Source organism: Homo sapiens, chromosome 2 (assembly GCF_000001405.40).
Source record: "Homo sapiens chromosome 2, GRCh38.p14 Primary Assembly".
NCBI classification, from domain to species: Eukaryota; Metazoa; Chordata; class Mammalia; order Primates; family Hominidae; genus Homo; species Homo sapiens.
This window is the reverse complement of record NC_000002.12, coordinates 31,863,053-31,890,582: the sequence shown is the minus strand read 5'-3', so window position 1 is coordinate 31,890,582 and position 27,530 is coordinate 31,863,053. Positions and strand designations below refer to the sequence as shown.

The window sequence follows — 27,530 nt, the reverse complement described above, 5'->3', positions numbered from 1 at the left end:
TTAATTACTGATTTTATTGGTTAGCTGGTTTGCTACCTTTGGCAGAAGTTACATTTTATGGATATAAGTATACTACTTAGATCTGAAGGCTAGGTAGATGCTTAAAAGGAGTGCCTTTCTGTGGAATTTTGAAATGTAATAAGTGACCTTGAAAACTTAAGTATCATTACTGCAAAACAGCATATTTTCCTTAATATTGTGAATTTGTGTTGGTAACAAAGCATGTCTGTATGTTTTGAAAATTAAAATTCTTGAAGCAAGTGTCCCACACCTCCTTCATTTTTAAGGCTCTTATTAATCACTTGATTTACATAATTAGTTCCCTTGATATTATTTTTTAGAACCTGGGCTTTCTCTCTAGGTTGGCAACCTGTGCAACTGTAACATAAATTCACATAAAACGTCAGTAAACATTTCAATATTGCTCTTTTCTGTGGAATCATCCTTTTTACCTCATTAATAAAGAATTCTAAAGTAACCAAAGCCTAGTCCACTGCTATATGTAACTACAGTGGCTGAGAGAGAAACATAAATTTGTTTTACCTTCTACCTAGATTCTTAGAAAATTATTGAGGTTGTTTTGTCTCCTGATTTCTTGGAAATTTTGGTATCTAAATTGTAAGATAGGATTTCCAGGTGATAGTTACAAAAAAGAGCTCAAAAATTTTAAAGACTCATAAATAATAGTTATAAGAATTATCCAGAGACTAAAACATTTTTTAGATTTATGTTTGGTGTTTAAGTAGTAGAACTTTTCAAGTGTTCATTTTTTAGTATCATCATCATTAATAATACTCATTAAATGTTTTCTTTGTACTTATGGAAAGCACCGTGCTACTACTTATTGAGAAATATGTTGGGGTTCTGGGGATAAGTGAAAGGTGTAACATAGATAATATTCCAAAATTGATAGTCTTTTCACTACCACAGTAATTCTTGTAAAGTGAGATACATTTTCTCTTTTGCATGCTGACTAAAGTATTATGAATTATTGACCAGTTATGGGTTAAGCTATCTAAAGAATTAAGTTTCATGTTTCTCACATTCATATTGTAGTGGCGATGGGTATCTTTCCTAAATTAGTAAGTGTGCCATATTATCATCTCAAAAATTCAGCTTTTTCTCATGAAGATAATACTTAATGGTTTTTCTTTCTTTTTAAAGAGATACTATACAGCTTGATTTTTATTATATAGAAGCAATCATAACACTGACTTCTAAATTTCACAGGAGGGATTCAGTTCCTCATGCATGCAGAGGTCTTAAATGGTTCATTGAGTTTCCTCTTAACACACTATAAATACCTGAATTTTTTGGGGAAAAAAATTATTGCAGTACACTTGAAAAATTACTCAGCTACACACAGTGGAAGTTTCTTTGTTTTGATTATTAGATTACTGGCAGTGACTACACTGTTCATTTCTAGTCATTGGTTCTCTCTATATTGTGCCTACCTTTTGCAGAAAGTGAAGTGAAAACCTTGGTGATAGAGATATTCCAGATTTTTATCTGTAAATTGGAAAGATTTTTCTTGTTGACCTTATTTGTTAGCCAGTGTTCTTTATAAACATGATTTATTTTCTTAAATTTATTTTACTTTAAAGATGTTCATCTTTCAGATGCCTTGTAGCTTTTATTTAGACTTGAAAAGAGACATTAGAGAAATAAAGGTAGACGTACTGAAGTACTCTCAAGTTTTCTTTCTAGTTGAGTTAAGCCAAGGGAGAGACAGGAACCTAGATTCCATTATCCCCCTTCTTTCAATCCCCTCATTTGAGTTCCCCAAAAAGAAACCCTGCATTTCAGTTCCTGCCTTTTATTGCATCACCAGTCTTGTACATATAGAAATGCCAGATTATATTTCTCAGGCAACACTTAAAATAGTTTCACCTCATTTCATCCTTTCTGTTACTAGCAGGAAGTAGATTAAGTGAAAAGACATTTGCCACTAGTCTGTGTGCTTTACCATGGTTAAATAAATTGTTCCAATACTTTTTGTGCTTATTAAGTTCTATATCCTATAGGATGGCTCCGTATGAGAGAATTTTGTCTGGACCTATTTTAATTTTTTCAGTTAGTAGAATTTTCATTCTGTTTTCTCAAGTTTCAGTTTTGGCCTTCTTCATATATGTGATTGATATTTGTGTTTTCCTGACCTTCCTGAAATTTATATTTCTAAATTTAGATTGTTGGCAGCTTTCATTAACGTAATTTTCACTTCTAAGAAGTTTCTAAATGAAATTGGATTTAGTGAAAATATATTTTTCAAAAGTGGAGTTATGAACCGGGTATGGTAGTTTGTGCCTATAGTCCTAGCTATGTGGGAGGCTGAGGCAGGAGGATTACTTGAATCTAGCCTGGAGAACAAGTGAGACCTCATCTCTAACAAAAAATAAACAAAAAGTAAAAGTGGACTTCATGCTTTATTTGATTTGCCTTTTATGGTGGTTTTACAAATCAGTTTAGATAAGTTTACTTGGTGAATATTTATGACATATATTTTTTTAAATATGAGAAGTTTACTGTAGTCTTTTCAGCAATTTTGAATTTTTATGCATACATTTATATTTGTTTTGGTTTACATAACTACCTTTTTATAAATACATACCACTTATTAAAAGTGGCATTCCCCTAAATATTTATGAAATTGATAACATTCAGATTTCTTCTTTACTGTATATTAATGTGATTATTCATGCATACTCTTCCTTTCTGTCAGTCTCTTGGGTATAAGGCTGTTGCTATTTTCTAAATAGTTAAATAGGTTTGAGTGTAAGTTAGCTAATTCTTAAAATGTACCTTAACCAAGCCATCATATTTGTCTTCTCAAATATTTGTACATGCAGATTTTACATATTTAGTTTTTGACTTTTTGCAGATTTGAGATAAGGCTAATACTTATACATTAGCACTTCAGATTGAAAGCATGATCGTATTTAGCTTTTAAAAGAGATTACCTTATTTGATGCTACTTACATAATATTTCCTTTATGAAATACATTTTTTCTTTGGTAGTGATTTCAATTATGAATGTCCCCAGGTTGGGTCCTTAGTATAGAATGGCCTAATAATTTATCTCACAAGGTTGTTGTGAGGTTTAACTTAAATATTTGAAAGTGGCTTAGCATATAAACGATGTGATTAAGTAAATGTGTGACAGTATAATTTTTATTTTATGTATCTGAAAATCTATCTTATTGACTGATCTTTTGGGGGCTTTATAGATCAACTTTCCAAGGTCATTATTTATTTTTGCAGTTCAGTGCATAGCTTAATGTTGAGGTATTTACTGTTCTTTTACCTTTTGTTTTAAGGTACTTAAAAAGTAGCATTGGTTCTTGTACCATTCATTGTTATGTTTGTCCTCATTAGTTGATTGTTGTGTGTTAAACAGACATCCCTGGAGCTTATTCTCCACACTCTGTGAATCCACTCATTAATCACCAGTCACCTTTGGAGATGGGAAAATTACTTACCTGTATTTCTTTTTCTCAGAAAGCGTGCTCTGGAATGGATTCACAAATGAGCTACCCTCCTTCCCTCAAAGAGTAAGGTTTCTGCTTTACAGGATTTTTTTCTTGGGTTATTTTTCCTCTCATCTTTTGAATTTGAAAAGAACTGAGGGAAGGCACCTGAAGAAACTACTGACATACTCACTAGGGGAGTTCCAAAGCTTGTGCTGCCCCTAGGGGCAGTGTCAATGGCTCTTAAAGCTAGAAAGCTCATACTTGGAGTTGAAACAGGGGCTCAAAGAATCCATTTTCCCAGTGTACCTTCTGAAAGGATAAGTTTCAGGTAAGTAATTTTCTCTTACTATGTGATACGCTTTATTCATACTTAAAAAGTACAAAAGTCCAGTTCTCCAGGTACATGGGCAATTGTATTTGTTTATAGTTTAGATTCATAACCTTTACTGAATGTCAGAAACACAAAAACTTATAAAAATAAAATATATTTGCTCTTGAGATACATATAATTTATTTTAAGTCAATAATACATTTTTAGTTAAAGGTGTATTTATGATCAGTTTATTGTACTTGTGCTATAATTTTCTTTATTATTAAATAAAATTTTGAGACACTTTTAAAATAATAAAAACCAAAAAGTGGTATTTTAAACTCAGTTTCTAAATGATGATTGACTAAAGTTGTGTGTGTGTATGCAGACATACGTAAATACACACATACATATAGGCTATGATGATGACAACTATTTACTTCAAATTAGATGCCTTCTGTATGTATATTGACCAGAATACATTGCTCAAGTGATTTTTAAATATTTGTATAATTTTTAAAAATTACCATGAGACGATTTGAGCTGTTGCAACTAAAATATTTATTCAGTGTAGTAGCTATATGTAGTGTGGATTTAGCTACTTAATCGAAACATTCTTTAGAGTCCTTCAAATATTTATAGTCAGTTTTTCAGTTACTAAATATGAGGTGGCTACTAAAGAGTAACAAAAAGTAGATGGCATTTACTGCCATTGGCTCTCTGTGCATTTTTGCATTCTCATTAAATCCCATGCCGATCCAGTATTTTAAAGTATTTCAAACATTTCCTCTTTTTTTCCTTCAGAAGCAGTTTTTAAAAAGTGAAAGTTACATAGAAAATGGTCCATATGAACAAGATAGCAATTTAAAGTATAGACTTTTCACTTACTGTTAAGTCTGGGTTGACCAACTTCAGCCATTTGGAACAGCAACTCTTTACTTGGAATTAAGCAGAAAAGACTTTTGAGTAGCAAACGACTATCATGTAGTATATGCGTTTTTCTCTGAACCTGGGAGTAGCAGTAGATTATGTCCCAGTTTCAGGGCTTACTGATAGTAGCCAAAACTAACAGCTATTTCCAGAAGCAGGGAAAAGAGAATGTATTAGTGTAAACCTAAAGCAGTTCAGGTTCAAAGAATTGAGGTGTATACTACCTTGATTTCCTCCAAGAATATTGTTCTTATAGTGAGAGTGAGTCAGAATATTCTTGTCTAAGGTGTTCATTTGTTTCAGAAAGATTTTGGACAGCTTTGTCAAAATAACTTTGAAATAGAAGTAAAAATTTAGTATCAAATGAATTGAATCGATAAATTATTATAACTGCACTTTAGATTTGGCACTGAGCAGCCTTCTCACAGCCACCTGGCAATGAGAAAAATAGTGTCAGGCTGGGTGTGGTGGCTCACGCCTGTAATCCCAGCACTTTGGGAGGCCAAGGCAGGTGGATCACTTTAGGTCAGGAGTTTGAGACCAGCCTGGCCAACATGGTGAAACCCCATCTTTACTAAAGATACAAAAAGTAGCTGGATGTGGTGGCACATGCCTGTAGTCCCAGCTACTCGGGAGGTTGAGGCAGGAGAATCACTTGAACCCGGGAGGCAGAGGTTGCAGTGAGCTGAGATTGCACCACTGCACTCTAGCCTGGGCAACAGGGTGAGACTCCATCTTAAAAAAAAGAAAAAAAGAAAAATAGTGTCAATTATATAGTTATTAGATAATTCTCATTGTTATGTATGAAGTATTAATATATACATTCTTTACAGAAAAATAAAGCTATACCTTACTCTAAATTTTAAAAGAAATGTTTAATGAATTATCAATATAGAGGCATTGAACAATAAATTATCATTGTTTTAAGAATTTTTTTTTTAGTTCAAAGACTATAGTTGATCTCATAGCTAAGGTAACATGCAGTAATCTTTATTGTTTTATTCAGGAAGCAGATATTGTTTCAGTCCCTGTTGCCCAATTCTAGGATATCATCAGTTAAGTTATAAGATGCAATATTGAGTGAATAATGGCTCTTGGGAGAGAATAAGGACTGCTACATTGAGTAATTATGTTACTGTATACGAAAAGTTAAAATGTGAACATTAAGGAAATATGACATATTTTAGAAAGGTGACCATCAAAGGTGATCAGTATCAACAAATGAATGAAGTGTTTCAGTTCTATGATGTGTGGTTTTTCAGAAAAGGACATCAAAGAGGGTTTTATAATTTTGCACTGCCCATCATTTACATAATTTTTTTAGTAAGATGAACAGAAAACTTAAAAATCTTAATTATCTAGCCGAAGAGTTCCATGTCTTCAGGTGTGAGGGTGGTAACTGGATATATCAACATTGCTCTGAACGTGAAGCACAAGACACATGATGTGTGTACATGATTTGTATGGTCTAATTCCTTTAGAAATGCATTTTGGTCAATCTTTAACATTAAGGAAATACAAAAGTAATGAGTTCTTAGAAAAAAGGCACTGCTAAAAGATTTAGGTGTATCTGAAATACGTTGCAGTCAGTTGAGTAATACTCCCCATAATTAGTTAAGAAAATTTTTAACTTGATTTTCATGTAACTAGTAGGAAACAGAATTTATTTTCTGAGACTTTTGTTTTCTGTTTTCTCTTTAAGCTTCTTTCATTTTACCTTCTCTATTCTTTGGAGAATAGCCAAAACATTGAATGTTCTATGCTTATAATCTTATTGAGATTTTATGTCAGGGTAGGAATATTTATTATATTTATATTATATTTACCCTTTTGTGTATTCTGTTCACGTTGCATAAGGCACTTGTATTGATCCTTTTCCAAGTTGTGCAAAAATGAGATAATTTTTAAAAAATTTACTTCATAAAAGTCACACAAGTCACAGTATTTGCGACCTCATGGTTTTTTTTTTTTTCCCCCGTAATAGAGATCAAAACTTTGTACAGCAAAAGCTAAGGCTTTTAGTGATTTGTTATACCAAGATAGTTTTCTTAAACCAAATATTCTTAAGTAATATTCTTTGGGTTTACTTTCCAATATAGACTGATAAAATGTTTAACAATGCTTCTAACTTTTAAGCTATTTTGTTTCCTTAATCTTGTATTTCTGGTGATTTTAAGGTTTCTACAATTTGAAACAGTTCTTAACATCATAAAACATTGGTGATATCATTTCTTTATTACCTTCCCAAATGTGCCTTTTATTTTTATGTACAAGGGCTCTTGGGAATGATTCTCTCAGAGGCTTAAGCTGTGCTTTGCCTTTCATGAGAACTGAAATTATTTGGTAAGCGCTTGCTTTCTTTTTAGCTTCTAATTTTTCCCTATTTTATTTTGTACATGATATTTGTTTCAAGGTCAAAGGTTCCGTTACAGTTACTATGATGAATCCCAGGGGGAGATTTATAGATCCATTGAACATCTAGATAAAATGGTAAGTCTTTCAGGTGTGGGATTTTAATGCTCTAAGGCTTTTTCTTTAATTTCAGATTAGTAATTCAAGACTTAACATGTTGAAATAATATATTTTTTCCCTATCTTTAAATGTACAAAATGCAATGTGTCATCATATAAATACTGACTATAAGAATAATCCCTATTCTAGTAGGAATTTCCGTCATCATAATTTTGTTTGATTAATGAGAATATTTAAGAATAATATATACGGATTTAAAATACTTTCTAGAGAAGTACTTTAGCTTTAGGAACAGTAAGATACTAATACCATTATTTACTGTTAAGCAGTAATAACCATAGCAGATGATGGGATACCTTGACTCTAATTCCTGTTTGTTTCACGACTACCTGAAATATTTTTTTTTGAGTCCTTCTTTTGACTCCTTCTGAACAGCATTGTTGTTTTTTAAAATTTATTAAATAACTTAGTATATTTTTAGTTTTGATAGCAGACCAAATTACTGTTCTTAAGTGATGATGAAGATTTTATGAATTAGCTAATAAAAATCTGTATTCTGTTGGAGGAATTATATGTAAACTTGAAGTAAATAACCTGAAAATTTTAGACTGAAAGTCTTTATTTTTTAAATTATTGCCCCTTTACCTCTGGAAATAAAAGACATCATAGCCTTATGATGACAGTGTGCAGGAATTCCAATATACACAAAATGTAGCTAACTTGAATCTTGTCTGCTATGCTGAAGGGATTTATACATATACTTTATTTTAAAATTTAAAATTTCAGGCATGTTTGTTTTGTTTTGTTAATTTATTTTTATTATTTCCTTGGACCAGCAGTTTGACCTGACAGAGGCATATTTATTTTGGAACTACTTTTTTTTTCCTTCAAATTTTTAGAAGCTCTCAAAATCTAAAATTCAGTGGAATTAATATTTTAAACATAATAAACTCACATCATTGATATATTTCTGTAAAATATCCTGTAAATCAGATTGTTATATATCTAATTTCATTTTTGTTTTGATTTGCATTTCCCATTGATCTTAAGCATGCATATTAAGATATTTCTTTTTTCCTTTTTTTAAGAGACAGGGACTCATTCCGTTACTGAGGCTGGAGTGCAGTGGCACATCATAGCTCCCTGCAACCTGGAATTCCTGGGCTTAAGCAATCTCCTGCCTTAGCCTCCTGAGTAGCTGGGACTATAGGCACATGCCACCATACCCAACTAATATTTATTTATTTATTTATTTATTTAGAGAGAAGGTCTCACTCTGTGGCCCAGGCTGGCGTGCAGTGGTGTGATCTTGGCTTACTGTAGCCTCTACTTCCCGGGCTCAAGCGATTCTCCCACCTCAGCCTCCTGAGTAGCTGGGACACAGGCGCCTACCACCAAGCCCATCTAATTTTTGTATTTTTTGTAAAGACAGGGTTTCACCATGTTGCCCAGGCTGGTCTCAGACTCCTGAGCAGAAGTGATCTGCCAGCCTCAGCCTCTCAAAAGTCCTGGGATTACAGGCATGTGACACCGCACCCAGCTTTTTTCTTTTCTTTTCTTTTTTTGTAGAGACAAGGTCTTGCTTTATTGCCCAGGCTAGTTTTGAACACTTGGCTTCAAGCAACCCTCCTGCCTCCCAGAGTGCTGGGATTACAGGTGTGAGCTGCCGCACTTGGCACATATTAAGACTTGAACTTTATGGCCTGGAGCCTTCAGGTATCTATTAAAAAGAGCTATAAAAAAAGCATAAGAAAACAAAATTATTTTTACAGATGCAAATAATTTGTTTTTTTCTCTTCATTTGTCCTTTTGCTCTTTTTACAAATTCTTAGTGTATTGTCTTGTTTTTGGGCCATTTGGATTTTTCTTTTTTTCCTTTTTCTGTTTTTTTTTTTTTTTTTTTTTTTTAAAGACAGGCTCTCACTCTATCACCTAGGCTGGAGTGTAGTAGCACCATCATGGCTCACTGCTGCCTCAACCTCCCAGGCTCAGGCAGTCCTCCTACCTCAGTCTCCTGAGTGGCCGGGAGCACAGATGCATACCACCACACCTGGCTAATTTTTTTTTGTAGTTTTTTGTAGAGACGAGGTTTCGCCATGTTGCCCAGACTGGTCTGGAACTCCTGAGATCAAGTGATCCACCCTCCTTGGCCTCCCAAAGTGATGAGGTTACAGGCATGAGCCACTGCACCTGGCCTGGATTTTTCTTAAAAGGAATTTCAATTCGTTGTTCTAAACACAGAATTTTTAAATATAATTATATTCTTACCTAGCTAAGGAGTACAGTAGATGTTGATCCTACTGTCTTTTTTTCTTGAAGTGCCATGGTAGTCATAATATTTTTTCTTTTCCTTCTTTTCTTTCTTTTTTTATTTTTTTGTGAGACAGTGTCTCCCTCTGTCACCCAGGCTGGAGTGCAGTGGCACAATCACAGTTCACTGCAGCCTCAGCCTGCTGGGCTTAAACAGTCCTCCCACTTCAGCCACCCAAGTAGCTGGGACTATAGACATTTACCACCACGCCCGGCTAATTATTTTTATTTTTATTTTTTAGAGATGGGGTTTCGCCATGTTGTCTAAGCTGATGATACTTATTTTAATTTTTTAAATAACACAAATAATTTTAGGATTTACTCATAAATAGTATTAAATATAGCAGAACAGCTCTAACTTGCTCTCTATGACCACTGACAGATTATTTTAATACTCTAGTTTTCATTTCCTTATCTGGAAGAAGATAGACTTGGACTAAATGGTCTCTAAATTGTCTTTAAATTCTGTCAGCTTGTAAGTCTTCAGTTTGTTCAAATCAGCTCTACCAATGTGTTAAGCCTTATGCATATGTTTTAGTACAAGATTATTTGGTTTAAAGTAGATCAAATATTTTAGTAAGGAATCTGGATTTGAATGTATAAATAGAATATATCATGTAGTATATTTTATTAAAGCCAAATGTAATGAATGTAAAGTTGGTTACTTAGTGTGTTTATCATGTTTAAACTTACCTTAGTTGCTACTTTAAATCCAATTATTGTCCAATACTTTTACCTTTAGAATTTTATTTGGATTTTAATGTATTACCTTCTTTTTGGCTTCCTGATGTTTTCATTTCAGTTGTTTAACTCTCCTTTGACTTCTAGTCTTTTTATTCTGAGGTTTAGTTCTCAGTTGCCTCAGAAAACTTTTTCTGGCTTTTTCCATATAGCAAATGATTAATGATTGTCAAAGCAAATGGTTAATGGGTATCTGCTATATGTCCGGTACTCTGTGCAGTATTGAGGACATAAAGAAGAGAAAACATAGTCCGTGACTTAATGGAGTCCAGTGGTTGAACATACTTACAAAGAAGCCATTACAATATAGAGAGCTGAGAGACATTTAGGAGGTAGAATGAAAAGGACTTTAGGGATTAATTAGGTGTGTCATGTTAAGGGAGTGGTGGGATGTGGGATGATTTCTGGCTTCCTTGTGTACATAGATGCTGATACTCACTAATACAGGGAATATAAGAGGGACAGATTTAAGGAAAAAGATGAGTTCAGTCTTATACATGGGTTTTGTGTTATGTTTAGAACTGCACTTTTTGATACTGTAGCCACCAGTCACATGTATTTATTGAGTATTTGAAGTGTGGTTATACAACTTGAAATATACTGTAAGTGTAAAATATACACTGGATTTTGAACATGTAGTATGAAAAGAACAAAAATATCTCAGAAATCTATCTTGATTATATTATAAAATGATACTGCCAGATTGTGTTTAATAAAATATCTTAAAATTAATTTTACCTGTTTATTTTTTAAATATGGCTATAATAAATTTTAAAATTACATATATGGCCTGCATTATATTTTTATTGGACAGTACTGGTTTAGAACATGAAGGTAGGTCTGGATGGAGATAAACATTTTGAAATTATTGGTGTATGAGGAGTGGATGGGAAGAAAGGATGTTAATGCCATTGTTTAGAGAGTCAATCTCCAGAGAGAGTATAAGGAGTAGGAACAAAGGGGGAGTTAGATCAGATGGACATACCAGCATTAAGTGGAAGAGGAGATAAAGCAGAGCCAGTAGAGTTCTGCTTAGAGAGAACTGAGAATGAGCAATATCACAGAGAGGATGAGCTTTATTTAGCAAAGAGGGAGGAAGAGTATCAAATGCTGCACAGAGGTGAATTAAGAACCTTGCAAGAGCAGTTTCAGTGGAATCAGCTTAGAATCTAAATTGGAATGAAGAGGCAAAAACCAAATGTGAAAAATTATTCTCTACTAGTTTGAGTATGACAGAAAGGAGCAATGTTTAAATGTTAACTGATTTGGTAGATGACGAGATCCAGGGAAACACAGTCACAGGAGGAGTTTTTAAAGATGGAAACTATGAGATTACTTCAGAATTTCCAGTAACATTAATCCCTAATTTGAGGTATTGGAGAGATTTGACTTAAGATTATATCAGCTATATGATTCTCGTTTCTCCTCGGTTTAACCTTTCTTGTGTTACATTTTATTCATTTAGGAAAGAATCTCTAAGGAGGAATGGCTGCATATATGTGAAATATAAATTATTAATGGTATGCATGTAAATTTTCCCGTCATTAAAATTGTCTTTTTTTGGTTAGGTAACCATACAGAAAATAATTTTGAAAGATACCTCAGTACTAAAAATTTTCAAAGTAAATAAAGTCTTCCTGGACATGGTCTTTAGCAAGTTTGTACTAAATTTTATGAAAGTAATGCTTTTTGCACCAAAAATATAAAAGAACTCCTGCCAGAAGCACGTGCTCAAACACCGTACATAATTTCCACTTGGATGTCTTATAAACAGCTCATACTAAACATATTCCAAACGGAATTCCTGATTTTCTTCCCACCAAGACCTGTTCTACTCATAGGCTTTCTTAATTCAAATGATGGTGGTCCTATCCTTCCACTTTCCTAACTGGTCTTCTTAGACCTACCCTGGTATTCTTCAGTCTCAGGTGGCTTAAAGTAGGAACCAAAGCAATTATTTTAAAATCTAAATCAGATCATGTTACTCTTCTGCCCCATATCTCCTGTAAAATTGCCCCCTTTCAGTCAGAATAAAAGCCAGTGTCTTTACAGTGGGTAGACAAAAAGGACCAACATGATTTGCAGCCCCCAAATGTTAAGAGCCCTCCATTTTCTTACTTTTACTCTTCCTTCACTCTACCGTGGACACACTAATCTCCTTACTGTGCCTTGATAATGTCATGTATCTGCCTAGCTTAGGGCGTTTGCCCGTTTTGCTTAGCTCTCACCTTCTCACTGGGGCCTTCTGACTACTCTATTTAATTTTGCATCCTACATCCTACCCTTGCAGCATTCCCAGTCCACCGTACCCTGTTCCACTTTTTCTTCTAAAAAACTAAATACTTAATTACATTTCTGTCAATCAGGATATTTGTTTTGTTCTCCGATGTATACAAAGTGCCTAGAATAGTGATTAGAATATAAGTAGGTGGTCAATACATATTTTTCAAATGAATAAATTAATGGATATAATCTTCCTGTACGCAGTTTAAAACCATGACTTTCCTAACTGTAACATGTAAAGGAAATAAAAGGAATTTATAATAAATATATATTTAAGAATGTAAATGCCCAGTCACAACTAAATTAGAAGGTACAATGAAGTATTTAAATATTTATGAATAGTATTATTAATGTAAAAACAGCTTCAAATACACACTTACACACGTATGTATTAGTGACTGAAATTACTAAGTGCCATTGCTAGTGACTTGATTTTCCAAAATGGTGAACAATTCTTAGTAAACTTGTAAACAAAACCAGTACAGTCTTCCCTCACTTTACATGATAGTTTTATTCCTGGGAAACTCATTGTATATTAAAATCAATGCAAAACTTATTTCTGTTTGTATATGAAGTGGAATTAATGTATAGATAATTAAGGCTGTAGATATTCTGTAGTCTTATGGATGGAGAACAGTCTTTGTGTATGAAACTGTCTTGTGTCAGCATCCCTGGAATCCCACTGAGTCCCAATAGCATCTTCAAATTATTGTGACAGCCAAAAAGCGTGCATCATTTTCCATTAGCCTCCTTGGATGAACAGCTGTTCATTGGCCTTACCCTGCTGTATTTTTATTCTAGGTATTTATTACTGCATGACTTACTCATTTGTTGATTTGTCTTGGGGTTATCTCCCTCACTGGATTACGTAAGCTTCATGAGAACAGGGACTTTGTCCATTTCCCATCCTAGTGCCTGTCAGTGGGCACACAATATATACAGTTGTTGAATGAGTGCTGGATAAATGGATGGGGAGGGTGGTGAGAAGTGAAACTTGAAGACTCCAGAACAGCTATCTTGAAGGATCTTACATAGGGAAGTGATAAAGTTGGTTTTGTATTTGAATAGATCATATGGCTGCAGTGTAGCAAATGGGTTGGAAGGAGGCTGGAAGAGATAACGTGTAGACCAGTTAGGTAGTCCAGATGAGAAACTATGGTAATTTAGACAGTGGGTAGGGTGATGGTGGTAGAAGAGAGGGACAGAAATGTATATATTCAGTACATTTAGGAGACAAATTGATGATGGGACTTGGAGGTGGATTGAGCTTGGGGGGTCAAGGAAATGTCAAGGATGACTCCTAAATTTTTGGCTATGCTGCTGGTTCGATGGTTGCATTATTTATTTAGGCCATAAGGACCAAAATGTTTTTGGTGGGGGTGGGGCAGGAAGATAATAAATTCTATTAGGGATATGTTATGTTTGCTGTTGCCTTTAAGACATCTAAGTAGAGATGTCAATTAGGTAGACATTTGGATTTTCATTTTGCCAATTATTTTTGAGTACATATACATCCTGAGGTGTTGGTGGAGATACAGCAGTAAGCAAACATGGTTCTTGCTGTCATAAAACTTCTAATTGGAGGAGATATGTGTTAATTTTAAAAGGTAAGGAAATATATTAATTAGTTTCAAGTAGGAATGTGTGCAGAAAATACCTAAAAAGGTAAATGATGGTAAATGATTGGAGGCTGTTTTGGATTGAGTGGTCTGAGAAAGACTACCTTGAGGATGAAAATTAAAGTGAGTTCTGAATGATAAGAAAGCAAATCAAGTAAAGATCAGCGGGAAGAGCATTTTAGACAGGAGAAGTTGCCAGTGCAAAGACCTTAAGATTGGAAAGAAGCTGGTGTGTTAGAAGAAAAGGAAAAAGCCTGTGTTGTGGGAGTATGGTGTGTAAGAGTAAGAAGAGTGGTGTGTATAAAAGAGGCAGGGAGCTGATAATATAGGGTAATAATTGAAGGTAAGAACTTTATATAAGTACAATAGGAAGTGAAATGATATAATTTGAATTATTTTTAAGGTCACTGTGGTAGTTGTGTGGCAAATGGATTACACAGGAGGGTCAGAGGTAGCAACAATGGGGCTGGGGGCGGTGGCTCATGCCTGTAATCCCAGCAGTTTGGGGGGCCGAGGCGAGCAGATCACTTGAGGTCAGGAGTTTGAGACCAGCCTAGCCAACATGACGAAACCCCCTTTCTCCTAAAAATACAAAAATTAGTCGGGCATGGTGGTGCATGCCTGTAGTCCCAGCTACTCGGGAGGCTGAGGCAGGAGAATCGCTTAAACCTGGTAGGTGGAGGTTACAGTGAGCCGAGATTGCACCACTGCACTCCAGCTCTGGGGACAGAGCTGAGACTCTGTCTCAAAAAGAAAAAAAATAAAGGAAGTAGCAACAATGGGCCATTGGCAGAAGTTCAAGGGAGAGATGATAGTAACTTGGACTGTGGTGATGTTGGTGGAGGTAGAATGAAGTGGATGGAGGTCAGATCTTTTCAGAAATAAGAGTCAAAAGGACTTTGCTAATGGGTTGACTATTTTGGTTTGGAACTCAGGAAGGCTTTCAATTGGACTAGAGATGTAAGTTTGGGAGGTCTCAGTAGATCATTAAAGCCAGGACAGAGATGAGATTGCCTACTATAGTAATCATTAACCTTATCATTACAACAGAACTCACTTGTGGTACTTTGTTGAAATTTGCTGAGACCCTGTCTCAAAAAAGAAAAAAGGGAATAAATTGTACAGTAGAACCACTTAGCCCAGGTTGACTTCTAAGTTTGCATCTGATTTACCTTACTTTAGATATCCCAAATTACTGGAACATAATTTTAAAAATTTTATTTAAATACCCTGGAATATGATTTCTGAATAAATATTGAGTATTTGCTTCATATTAATATGCTTGAATTTAATATTTGATTTTAACATTTGGACTTGGAGTTTATTTCTGTGGTCCATTTGTTGAGATATATTTATTTATATATAGAATTTTTAAATGGCTCATAAGTGTTCTATTTTATTAGTATATTGTTGATTCAACTTATAAGTCAATTCTGGGAGTTAGAATACATGGGTCAAAATAATAAGACCCGTGTATGGTTAGCTCTAGACATAAACTTAGGTGTGTTTATATTACCTATGTATATATATATGTACACTTGCTGTTAGGCAGACTTAAATATTGTATTGTCTTAATTGATTAATCAGATGGTGAATGTACTTTTGCATATTTATTTTCTAAGAGATTATTTTATATTATAAATAATTTAAATCATTTGAGAACCAATATCTTAGTTTTCATATGTGATCTTTTCAGACAAAATGTACTTGGATGGTTCTCTGTATAAGCATTATAAAAATGTTAATTTTGAATTCCAATAATATACATTTTGGAAGTTTGATAGAGTAAAAAGAAACTAAGTATAAAATTTTAGATTACATCTGTTCAAAATTAGCATGTTAATTAAGTTTTGGTCCTTTTTAACTGAAAACTATTACTAAATATAGTTATTACAAGGCTAGAAAATAAAACTAAGTTGCAAAAGAAAAATAGCTATTCTTATTGCAAAATGTTTATATTTCTAGCACTTGAATATCTTAGAAATTAATTATGTGAAAAAACACATAAAATATAGGAGAACAAACTACCGAATGTAGTTGGGAAAAACTATGTAACTGTAGCATAGGATATCTAAACTCTGAAAGTCTTGTAATTTTATTGGCTATAGACCAGTGTTTTTGGTAATTAGTGCTTTGCAATGTCAATAATTACTGTGACTAAAGCAGAACCTAGTTGGAGATACTGATCTTGTAAACTTTACTTACTTGAAATATTAGTCATAGTTATTCATATGAGATGGTCATAGGTTATCATTTTTATTATACTACTTTTTTTGGTGTAGACCAGTGTTTCATTATGGACATTGGCAAATTATGATTCGGCAAGGATAATCTGAAAATGTCATTGTATTCATCTGTTATAACTTCTTTTTCTTTTAAATTTATCAGTTACTTCACTTAATTTGAATGTGAACTACTTTTCTTCCTTCCTACTGTTTTAAAAGTGAAAATTGTTCCTTCGTCACCTCATACTTCTTTCTCTTGAACCTAAGCCAATAGCTTTTTAGTAAGTTTTATAACATCACTTATAAGATAGCCATTTATTAGTACATTACTTAGCACTGCTATTTTTAAGGTGAGTTTTTTCCATAAAACTTTCACTGTTACTATTTTATCTTGATACCTCTTAAAGAAACTAGAATATTTCCTTTTCCTACCCCATGTCACTAAATGTATACTTATCTGCAAATATAAATATATATCCTTTAAACTATAAACCCACAAATCTAATGATTTGATAATATGGTGTTAATTATGTGGTTGGAATTAAAAGATATGATTCTGGTTTTTATTTCGTAAGTGCCTCTAAAATGTTTTGCTACTCCTTTGCATTTGTTACTTTTGGGAGAGATTTCCTTCTGGGTGATAATTTTTAGATTGTCATTTTATTAAATATAGGTAAACTTTTTTAAAGAGGGAAGATAATTTGTTGTCTTATCAGGGTCCTGAATCTGAGCTTTGTCAGTTAATACTGCCTATTTAGTTTGGGGTTGCCACTTGGAATTTGACATCACAAATATTCACTGATTACTTGAAGAGTCAACACAATGATAGACTGGCTCACCCCCTAAATTTAGGGAGTTAGCTTTCAATTTGTGGATTTGTTTCTGAAACTTAAATTCCTCAGAAACCTGTATCCTTGATGGATGGGCTTTTGGTGTTTATAATGTCTGCCTTATATCTTAGCGCTGAATGGGTAGTATAGTGACCCATTTCACTCCTCCACATTAGGTTAAGTTTATGTGAACAATCAAATTTTCACTATACTAGGCCTTAGGAAGCTCTCATTGCCTGGACTTTAGACTTACTGATCATATCTTCTACTCTTTTAAGAAATAAAACAGTTAATTCAGCCTAATTGGGGAAGGATATTCTTTTTCATCTTCTTGGACTTTTGCCAACAGCATTGAACTAGCATTTCTATCTTTTTGGAATTTTCCTAATAGTAATCTCATAGCTGTTAACATAAAAACATAGGTATATCTAGAAGTGTATTTGCCAGTATCCTGTATTAGTTAATAATGTTCCATTTCTAAATTTTATCATTATTGCTTTTGTTTGCATACTTCATGAATTTTTCAATTAGAGAGGTTCACTTATGAGAAAAGCCTTAGTTTTCCCATCTTTCCTTATAAAGAGGCATACCTCTTAAACCATCACTTGTGTCAGCTGAGTATAATTGAATTAATTTTTGCACTACTAAGTTTATAGCCCACTTTAAAGAATTAAAATTTTTGTACATTTAATTTCTTAACTCCCATCATCTCAATTTTTTATTTTCTGTCTTGTAATTTAACCAGTATATCTTCATTTTTAACTCTTTACTTAGTAGTATTTTTTCTGCATTTAATCTCCTGTTTTTCTATATTAGGTTTTCTTGACCAGTTACTTTGAATTCTTGGTCTTCTGAAATGTGATTAGTTTTCTTCTGTTTAAATTCATATCAGTATATAAATGTGATGTTTGTTCTGAATGTGCTTTGAGATTTTAATATTAAAATGTACATTAGAATCTCAGTGTCACATTATTTATTAATGAGTGGATTTATAAGGTAAGCTGTCCTAGATAGACTTCATTCAGGAGTATTAAAAGTTCACCTACAACATGTATGCAAGTTGTAGCTATGTAAGTGTTCAAAGAATTGTTAGTATGAGTCTTGTTATACTTTAGTACATCAGAGTAGAGAGTGAGAAAGAGCCTACAATTAGAAATTTAGAATCAGGACTTTTGCCTGTTTTGTGCCTCTGTTCATTTATCTCTAGGGGAGTTATATCTTGATCATCCATTATTTATGGAAGAGATTTATAACTCCATCTCTGCATTACTACAATCCATTCTTGGGTTAGAAATGTACTGTAATGTTTTTGGCATCAGAATTATGATATAGTTTATATAGGTTTAACTTTGTGTGTGTGTGTGTGTGTGTGTGTGTGTTTTGAGACAGAGTCTTGCTCTGTCGCCCAGGCTGGAGTGCAGTGGCACAATCTCGGGTCACTGCAACCTCTGCTTCCCAGGTTCAAGCGATTCTCCTGTCTCAGCCTCCCATGTAGCTGGGATTATAGGCATGTGCCACCATGACTGGCTAATTTTTGTATTTTTAGTGGAAATAGGGTTTCACCATGTTGGCCAGGCTGGTCTCAAACTCCTGACCTCAGGTGACCCACCTGCCTCGGCCTCCCAAAGTGCTGGGATTATAGGCATGAGCCACTGTACCTGGCCCATCTTAGGTTTAACTTTTAAGTTTGTATTTCTCTGAGCTTATATACCAAGTGTCGGTGGAGAGTGTTGACCTGGAAGTCCTGTGATTGGCAGGGGACAACCAACTTAGCATTACAAACTGATTGTGGACCAATCTGAGAGTGGCTAATTGATGTGCAAGCAATTCAAAGTTGATTGCACATGTATATGTCTATGTTTCAGATATATATATATGTGTGTGTGTGTGTGTGTGTATATATGGAATATTGATAATGTTTGTGAAGGAGTCGAATATTCTGAAGGAAAGTTTTTTTATAGAATTAAATTTTGATGCTGCCACTGTAAAATTTCTATGTTACCCACTGATTGCTGTCATTTTCCAGATGACTTTTACTTTTAACAGATGTTTATCTGATTACTCTTGGTGCTTTTACACTATACCTGTTTTGTTAAAATGTGAAATAAAAACAAAAACAAAAACACAGAATAACCAGTTAAGTCCCTAGTTAAACCACCATTTGCATTTCTCCCACAGAGTATGAATCCAGTTTATTTAATATAAAGTGTTTTAACTGAATAAGAAAATAATATAATTGGTGTATGTATAATTAGCTAGAATCAATAATTTATTTCCCCGACTTGGTGAGTTAAAGTTGCTCTATATTAATGAGTTGTAAATACATTATTTGAATGTATTTGGAGATTGCAGAATTTAGTGTAAACTAATGTTCAAGTCATAGTGGTTGTTTTAACAATAGTCTAACAAATTTTATTATGTATTAAGATGTTGAAAACAAGGCATTCTGGCTTAAAGAATAAAGAGATAAAAAGCTTTCCTTTATTATTAATCTTGTTCATAAGAGACCTGTGTTGTAGGCCGGGTGCAGTGACTCATACCTGTAATCCCAGTACTTTGGGAAGCTGAGGTGGGCAGATCACTTGAGGTCAGGAGTTCAAGACCAGCCTGGCCAACATGGTGAAACCTGGTCTCTACTAAAAATACAAAAATTAGCTAGGTGTGGTGGTGTGTTGTCTGTAATCCCAGTTACTCAGGAGGCTGAGGCAGGAAAATTGCTTGAACCCAGGAGGCAGGGGTTGCAGTGAGCTGAGATCGCACCACTGCACTCCAGCCTGGGTGATGGAGCAAGACTCCATCTAAAAAAAGGAGATCTGTGTTGCTTAAGCCTGCCTTTATCATGAGCTTTAAATTAATTAAAATATGTTAACTTTTTTCTTAGTTCGTGTCATTTTTTTCCACAAACCTAGATTATTTAATGCTGGTGATTTAAAATACCTTACATGGTTGATATTTAAGTATATGTTATGGAAATAGTTCAATTAAAATTATCTCTTGATTTTTCATGCCAATAGGAGGCAGAATATAATGGATATGGAGAAAACAGCCACAAAATAAATTAAATTTTAGGTTTCATACACAAATTTTCACAGCAGATTTACTTTTGTGTATTCTTTCTATGGAAGAAAGATATAATATTATGAAATGTTTGAGGATTGTGAGCTAAATGACAACTGGTTAAAGTAGTATAGAAACATACCTGGAGTTTGGAGAAAATAAACTGGGGATTAAAAGTTTTCTGTTAATAGAGAGTTGACTATAATGGTGGTAATAGCTTTGATGAATGAGTTTGATGTTTCACAAGGTTTATTTAATCTGTTTTCTTTGTGTCTCCCTAATTGAAGAATTATGTTTAAGTAACAGTTTTAAAATATAATTAGGAAATAATAAATATTGTCTTCTTCTTTTATTTTTTTCTTCCTCTTCTTTTTTTTTTTTTTTAGGGTATGAGTATTATAGAACAATTAGACCCTGTATCTTTTAGCAATTACTTGAAGAAATACCATAATACTATATGTGGAAGACATCCCATTGGGGTGTTATTAAATGTGAGTATCCTTAGGAAGCCTTGACTTTTAACATTTGGTCATATGATATTCCAAAATATTATCATTGTGATACAATGGCATCATTGGTTTTATGTACCTATGGTCAAGTTTCTTTTTAGTATCTTTAATATAATTTGGAGTTCCATTGCTTTTGGTTACTTGAATAAAGTTATTTATCATTGGAATACAGTTCAATACTTTCTGTTAAATACAAAAAGTTATTTAGAATAGAGACCCACATTTTCTCTTGACTCTTAGTTCCAATATGCTCTTTATAAATACAAACCAAAGTGACCTCTTAAGAGATATGGTCTTATTAATTTTTTGGTTTTATTTACTGGTCTAGACTCTATAAAAAATAAGTGGAAGATTCTGCTCTTAAACTTTAAATGTTCATAATGTAATAAAGCAAGACAGATGATGTGTGTTTTTCTCATTAAAACAAAAATAATGTTTATTTCAGTTAAGGAATGGTAAGAGTCAGAAGTTTCGGTTAGCTGGATTTTAGAAAAAGAAATAGCATTTTTTTCTTCTAATTAGGAAAACTATTAATTTCTTGAATGAAAATATGACATTAATTAAGAAAGAAGAAAGTGTATACTCAGGAATGGGAGGAGAAAGTAACAATGGGCTTATTTGGAGAGGCAGGGAAATAATGGAGAAGATAATGTAGTCCAGAATAGACTAAGTTAGGACCTTAAGTCCAGTATTATTTTAATGTGATTTGAAAGGTAATATATTGTGGGTTTTTAAGAAGGGTTTTTCTTCTAAGCTGTATTGATTGACTCAAAGAAAAGCTTTTCAAGAACTTAAACTAATTTTTGAAAATTGAAGCTAGAATAAACTGTACTAATTTCCTAAAATCTGAATTGAATCAAATAAAATTTGTATTATAAAGTAAATGCTGAACCAATCGACAATTAAAGTAAAAATCCTAGCATATACCTTTTAGATTTGGATTTTAATTTGTATACATTTCAAATTTAGTCAAAGTCAGATAAAGACTCCGACGTCTTAAGACAGAAGTGGCCAGGGATTTGGTTTATACGGTAAAGAGAAATATATTTAAAAAGTTAAAAAGGGTTTAAAAAATGGCCTTATTACAGGGAGAGGGAGGGTAAATGATGACTGATACTTAATTATCAAAAAACAAGATTAGAAGTTATTTGAGAAAATGATAAGGAATTCTTTTTTTTCTATTTTAATATGATGCAACAAGAGAAATTCAAGAAACAAAAGAGCAAAAGAGATAATCTAGGCTTCAGCTGTGAAGTGGACAAAGTCAAACCGCAAACACATTGAGTGCCCAGTTTTTTATGTGATGTGTGTCCTAACCAAATTTTTCTTTTTTCTAGGCTATCACAGAGCTCCAGAAGAATGGAATGAATATGAGTTTTTCGTTTTTGAATTATGCCCAGTCGAGCCAGTGTAGAAACTGGCAAGACAGTTCAGTGAGTTATGCAGCTGGAGCACTCACGGTCCACTGAAGCTCTGAATCCTCAGGGATGCCACCTGCACATTCTCATACTCTGTCCGGGGTCCCAGCCTAGCCTTTACCACGATACTGGTCCTGGTTTGGGGGGATTCTGAAACCTCAAACTAATAGAACTTTCTTCTCTTTTTTTCTAGTAGGTGTAGTCCTTCCTTAATTTCAACTCATTAAAAAATGCTTTATAGTTTAGGGCAGTGGAAGGAAGGCTGGCATCAAAATATTTTGATCAAAAAAGATGACAATGTAAAGGCTCAGTTGTGGCAGACAGTTTTTTGAAAGTAACTTGTAAAGCATTTACCATATCCTAAATTTGCACTCTTTGCAGACTTGTGCACATATATTCCGCTTTCAGAATAGTTTTGCAAATTGTACACAAACAAACAAAAAGGTGGAAGCTTTTTAATAAAGAAATTGCATTTATAAATGATCTGTATTAGAATATAATAAATCTCCAGTTATAGTCAATTACTACCCATGTTGTACAACAGATACCTTCTATTTTAGTTGCTAATAAAGGGCTACACAACTCAAAATAGTCTGATTTAAACTTATTGCTCTGTGGTATATATGAAAATTGTTTTTTATTAATTCCATCTCAGAATTTTTGTTAAAAATGGTAAACCTCAGCTCTTATGTAAAAATATATTAGGATGTATTTTATATTTTATATATTTGTATGATTTTTTTAAATCAGAAATTAGAATCATATGATCTTAAAGTTAACTTTTTAAATTACATGCAGTTTGCCTTTTTGTCTGTGACATCCCTTTGTGTCATTACTATATTGTAACAGAATATATATTCAAGATTGGTAAAAGAACGTAGATGTAATCCTTGACTTCAAAGATCATGTTTGATAGTCTGCAAATGAGGAAACATTGAAGAGTGTTCTTAGTGTTTTTCAAATCATTGCAGACCTTACACTGCTGTGCTTTTTTAATGCTTTAAGCAGTTTGACTCTTTTACTTGAATTTTTAGCCAGAGATCATTAACATCATCAACAACAACAAGCCACTGGATTTTCTTATGGTTACACAATTTTTTTTGTCATGATTTTTGGTGCGGCTCTTCCAACTAAAATAATGGTATGATGTTGTATTTCTTTCTTTCTTTAGCATAGACCAATTCTAGTCACTTTCGCCAAAAAAAAAAAAAAAAAAAAAAAAAAGATATAATTTAGTTAATAATTCAGTTACCATGTATGTACTGCATTATACCTATTTTAACCTAACAGTGTCTACATTATATTAGAGAGTGTTTATATCTCCAGTGTTATGCCAGAGTAGCACAATTTTTAGATGCCTTGCACCAATTTTATTTAAAGATTTATGTTTCTTATTTATTAAATATCAACTTTCTATACTCGAGTGAAATAAAATAATGTTACCTTTTAGATTCAAAGTCGCCCACCTATGTATGTGTGGAAATTATATTCTTACACATTAGTGATTTATTTTCCGTAATTTAGATACACTTTTTAGTACTATTAATATTTATTTCTTGTTTAATATGAACTATAAAATTTTAAAATGGACAACAGTGAATTTTTAAAATAATGTTTTCTGAGTATAAGACTAATACATGATTATTTTAGAAAATTTGAAAATTACTGAAAAGTTATAAAGAGAAAAAATTATCTGCAATCTCACTACCCAGAGATAACCCTGTTAATATTTTTCTGTATTTCTTTTCAGTCTTTGTCTGTGCTATTTCTATGTATGAGTGTGTATACATGTGTTTGTGTGTGTGTGTAATAACAAACTTGAGATTATACTGACCATATAGTTATGTACCCTGTTTTTTATAACCTAACTTCATACATATTTACCCATGTCTATGAAAATGTGACTTTTAAAAATGGCTGCCTAATATTCTATTGTATGAATATGCCACAATTTAACTACTTCTCTCTTTGGATATTAGGTTGTTCTAATCTTTCACCATTATAAATAATAGTGGGATAGACATCCTTGTTTGTAAAATTTCATCTCTATATTAGACTCTTTAGGATATACTCATGTACATGGAATAAGTGGTTTAGACAGTGAGAACTTTTTAGGCTCTTTAAAATATTTCCAAGTTATAACCCTTTAGAAAGATTGTACTAAATTAACAATGTATGAGTACCCATCATTCTGCCCCTTCACCAGTATCATTATTTTTTTAATCTTTGACAGTTGGTTAACATAACAATCGGTTGTTTCTTTGACCATTCTAATAAGAGTTGCTTTATAATGGCCGGGCGCGGTGGCTCACGCCTGTAATCCCAGCACTTTGGGAGGCCGAGGCGGGCGGATCACGAGGTCAGGAGATCGAGACCATCCCGGCTAAAACGGTGAAACCCCGTCTCTACTAAAAATACAAAAAATTAGCCGGGCGTAGTGGCGGGCGCCTGTAGTCCCAGCTACTTGGGAGGCTGAGGCAGGAGAATGGCGTGAACCCGGGTGGCGGAGCCTGCAGTGAGCCGAGATCCCGCCACTGCACTCCAGCCTGGGCGACAGAGCGAGACTCCGTCTCAAAAAAAAAAAAAAAAAAAAAAAAAAAGAGTTGCTTTATAATTAATTATTTTTGTCTTTCTATAATTTTATAGTTGATTGATTTTTAAAAAGACAAGAGGGTTGCCTAAGTTGGGTGGACTATAGTACAAGTATGGTTCTTGCACTTTTAAAACTGTAGAAGCTGGACACGATGGTATGCACCTGTAGTCCCAGCTACTTTGACTGTGGAGGCAGGAGGATCACTTGACAGTTTGAGACCAGCCTGGGCAATGTAGTGAGCCCCCCAAAACCCTCTAAACAAACAAACAAATCTGCAGAATATTTCAGCATCACTCTACACTTTCCTAGAATATCAACATACCTGATAATGAAGTAGAAAGAGTTCCAAATTGATGATTGAGTGTTGGGTTCTAGTTCTATTTCTGCCACTAATTAGTTCTCTGAACTTAAGTGTTTCATGTCATATTGAAACTTTCTCATTTGTAAAATGTGGAGGGGATCTCTTAAGTGCTTTCTAGTTTCAAAGTACTTTGATACTGTGACTTTATTTTGTAGAGGTTCTGGTGTCATTTATTTTTAATAGCTACATGAATAATGTAGAGATACTATCTTTTGATTTCAACTTCACATACATGGAAATGAAAGTCTTGTTATTTAACACAAAAGGAAATTTAATTTGCATTATTTAATGCAGTTAATATTACCTAAAATGTTGAACTTAAGCTTTTCTACTTTAAGTGCCTTTAAAAGTTTTGTATTTGGAATCTAAAATATAAAGGAAATTCTTATGTAGCTCTATACAGTTGCTTCTTTATTATATAGTTTTGAGTGTTTTGTAGCAACTTTTTTTTTTTTAACCTTAGATTGCACAGAGCAGCATATTCATGGATTCTTCACTATTCCGCTAGTGAATCCTTGAGAAATGTATGTTAAAGATTAGCTCACTGAGCAGGTAAGTAAGTGCTCTGTCTTGGGTGGGCAACAAATCTTCATACAGAGTAGGATAAAGAACTATTCAGATATACCAGTATTTGTATTTAGATATTCCCATTTAGATGGCTGGTGTTCTGAGCTAGTAAATGGTTAATGTTACAGATCTTAAATATTGCTTTGGTAGCAAATAGTTTATTCCCTGAGTTTTCAGGTTGGTAAATGTTTCTGTAAAAGACCAGATAGTAAATATTTTGGGCTTCACAGGCCATATAGTCTGTCCTTACTATTTTCCTCTGCAATTGTAGCACAAAAGCCACCATAGACAATGTGTAATCAAATGAATGTGAATGTGTTCTAATAAAAGTTTATTTACACAAAGATGGTGAGCTGGATTTGGCCTGTGGGCCATAATTTGCTGTCTCCTGTCATAGATGGTGCCGTTTGTAGTTCAAAAGTTGGCAAATAATCTAAACTGCAAAAAGCGGTGGTAAGTTTTTGCCATCACAATCCTGTCTTATTTTGATGTAGTCAGATTGACTGGTTGGAGTGTTATTTAGGATCATAAAGGTAAGTGGGAAATGGGTATGGGAAACTAAGAAGTCTTGGAAATTAGTGTTGAATAACTTTGAAGCCCTTTTATTTGCTGGAATCCATTGGGAGGTTTACTTTGCTGCAATAAACTAATCAAAAAAGTGATCGGTGGAGCTTGTGATTGGTTGTTGCAAATTCTTTAAATTATTCTAAGTGCTTGGCTACCTAGATGATAGCAGAAGCTAGATCAGATGAACCTTTTTACCTGAGTATTTTAGGACACTAGACCAACATTTTTAAAAAGGACTGTGAAATGTAAAACTTAATTTTGCCGTGTAAGGACTTTTGAAAAGACAACTACTATCTTCCCTTACCATTTTATTTTAAAAGTGACTCCCAATATTTAGGAAGGACTTAAACTCAGAGTAATAGAGTAATTTAACTTGAATAACTTTAAGTTAATGAAAAAATTACTACACTGGTATTTTCTCATTTACTCTGCATCACTGAAAAATTTATCGAGTTAATTAGTCCATAGACTGGCATTTGGGAAGTGCTATAATACAGTTGTTGAAAGAACTAGTGTACTTACAAAGCTGATATTGACTAGTAGATTAATAAGCCACATGTACACTGTTACTGAGATTTAAGACGTTTTTATTGTGTTAAATTGTAAGTGCCATGTATTAAAGGGGACACTAAGAACTATAGTGTCTATAAGGAATGATAAAAGGCTTTGATAGTCTAGAGAGTGAGATGTGGTTGAAGAAATTGGTGAGTCTTATTTTTGAGAAGGTAAGTTTAAAGATAGGGAGTTTTCTTCAGATTGAGTGACCTTCATATATGAGAAAGAATAGTATTTGTTCTGTGTTGTTCTGGGTAGAAAAATTATAAGAAATGGGAGCTTCTGGTTTTACGTTGAATATTCTCTAATGAGAATTCTTTCCTTTCCTTTTCCTTCCTCCCTTTCCCCTCCCTTTTCTCTCCCTTCCCCTTCCCCTCCCCGTTCCCTATCCCTCCCCTTCCCCCTCCCCCTCCCCTCCCTCTCTTTCCCCGCCTCTCCCCCAGTCTCGCTCTGTTGCCCCAGGCTGGAGTGCAGTGGCATGATCTCTGCTCACTGCAACCTCTGCCTCCCAGGTTCAAGCAATTCTCCTGCCTCAGCCTCCTGAGTAGCTGGGATTACAGGCGCCCGCCACCATACCTGGCTAATTTTTGTATTTTTAGTAGAAACGGGGTTTCGCCATGTTAGCCAGGCTGGTCTTGAACTCCTGACCTCAGGTGATCTGCCTGCCTCGGCCTCCCAAAGTGCTAGTATTACAAGTGTGAGCCACTGCACCCAGC

General features: G+C 33.9%; 1 protein-coding gene across 22 annotated transcripts in view, besides 1 other annotated feature; it reads left to right on the top strand.

Annotated features, from left to right (window-relative positions):
• Positions 1-22,760, top strand: part of MEMO1 (mediator of cell motility 1) — a 143,186-nt gene extending 120,426 nt beyond the window's left edge. For 16 of the 22 annotated variants that reach the window (XM_047444636.1, NM_001371916.2, NM_001371914.2 and 13 more), the window contains 3 exons: positions 7,121-7,197; positions 20,631-20,735; positions 22,091-22,760. In XM_047444636.1, the coding sequence (XP_047300592.1) occupies positions 7,121-7,197; positions 20,631-20,735; positions 22,091-22,222 (314 nt within the window). In that variant the 3' untranslated portion in view covers positions 22,223-22,760. The remainder of the gene's footprint in view (positions 1-7,120; positions 7,198-20,630; positions 20,736-22,090) is intronic. The other 6 variants (NR_126034.4, NR_163996.2, NR_163998.2 and 3 more) reach the window with 2 other exon arrangements.
• Positions 3,078-3,985: an enhancer, noted in NCBI's record as "NANOG hESC enhancer chr2:32111667-32112574 (GRCh37/hg19 assembly coordinates)". NCBI's record gives its function as "activates a minimal SCP1, AML or CMV promoter by ChIP-STARR-seq in primed H9 embryonic stem cells {active_cell/tissue: H9 hESC(primed)}" and the evidence as "EXISTENCE:reporter gene assay evidence [ECO:0000049][PMID:30033119]".
• Positions 22,761-27,530: the final 4,770 nt, after the last annotated feature.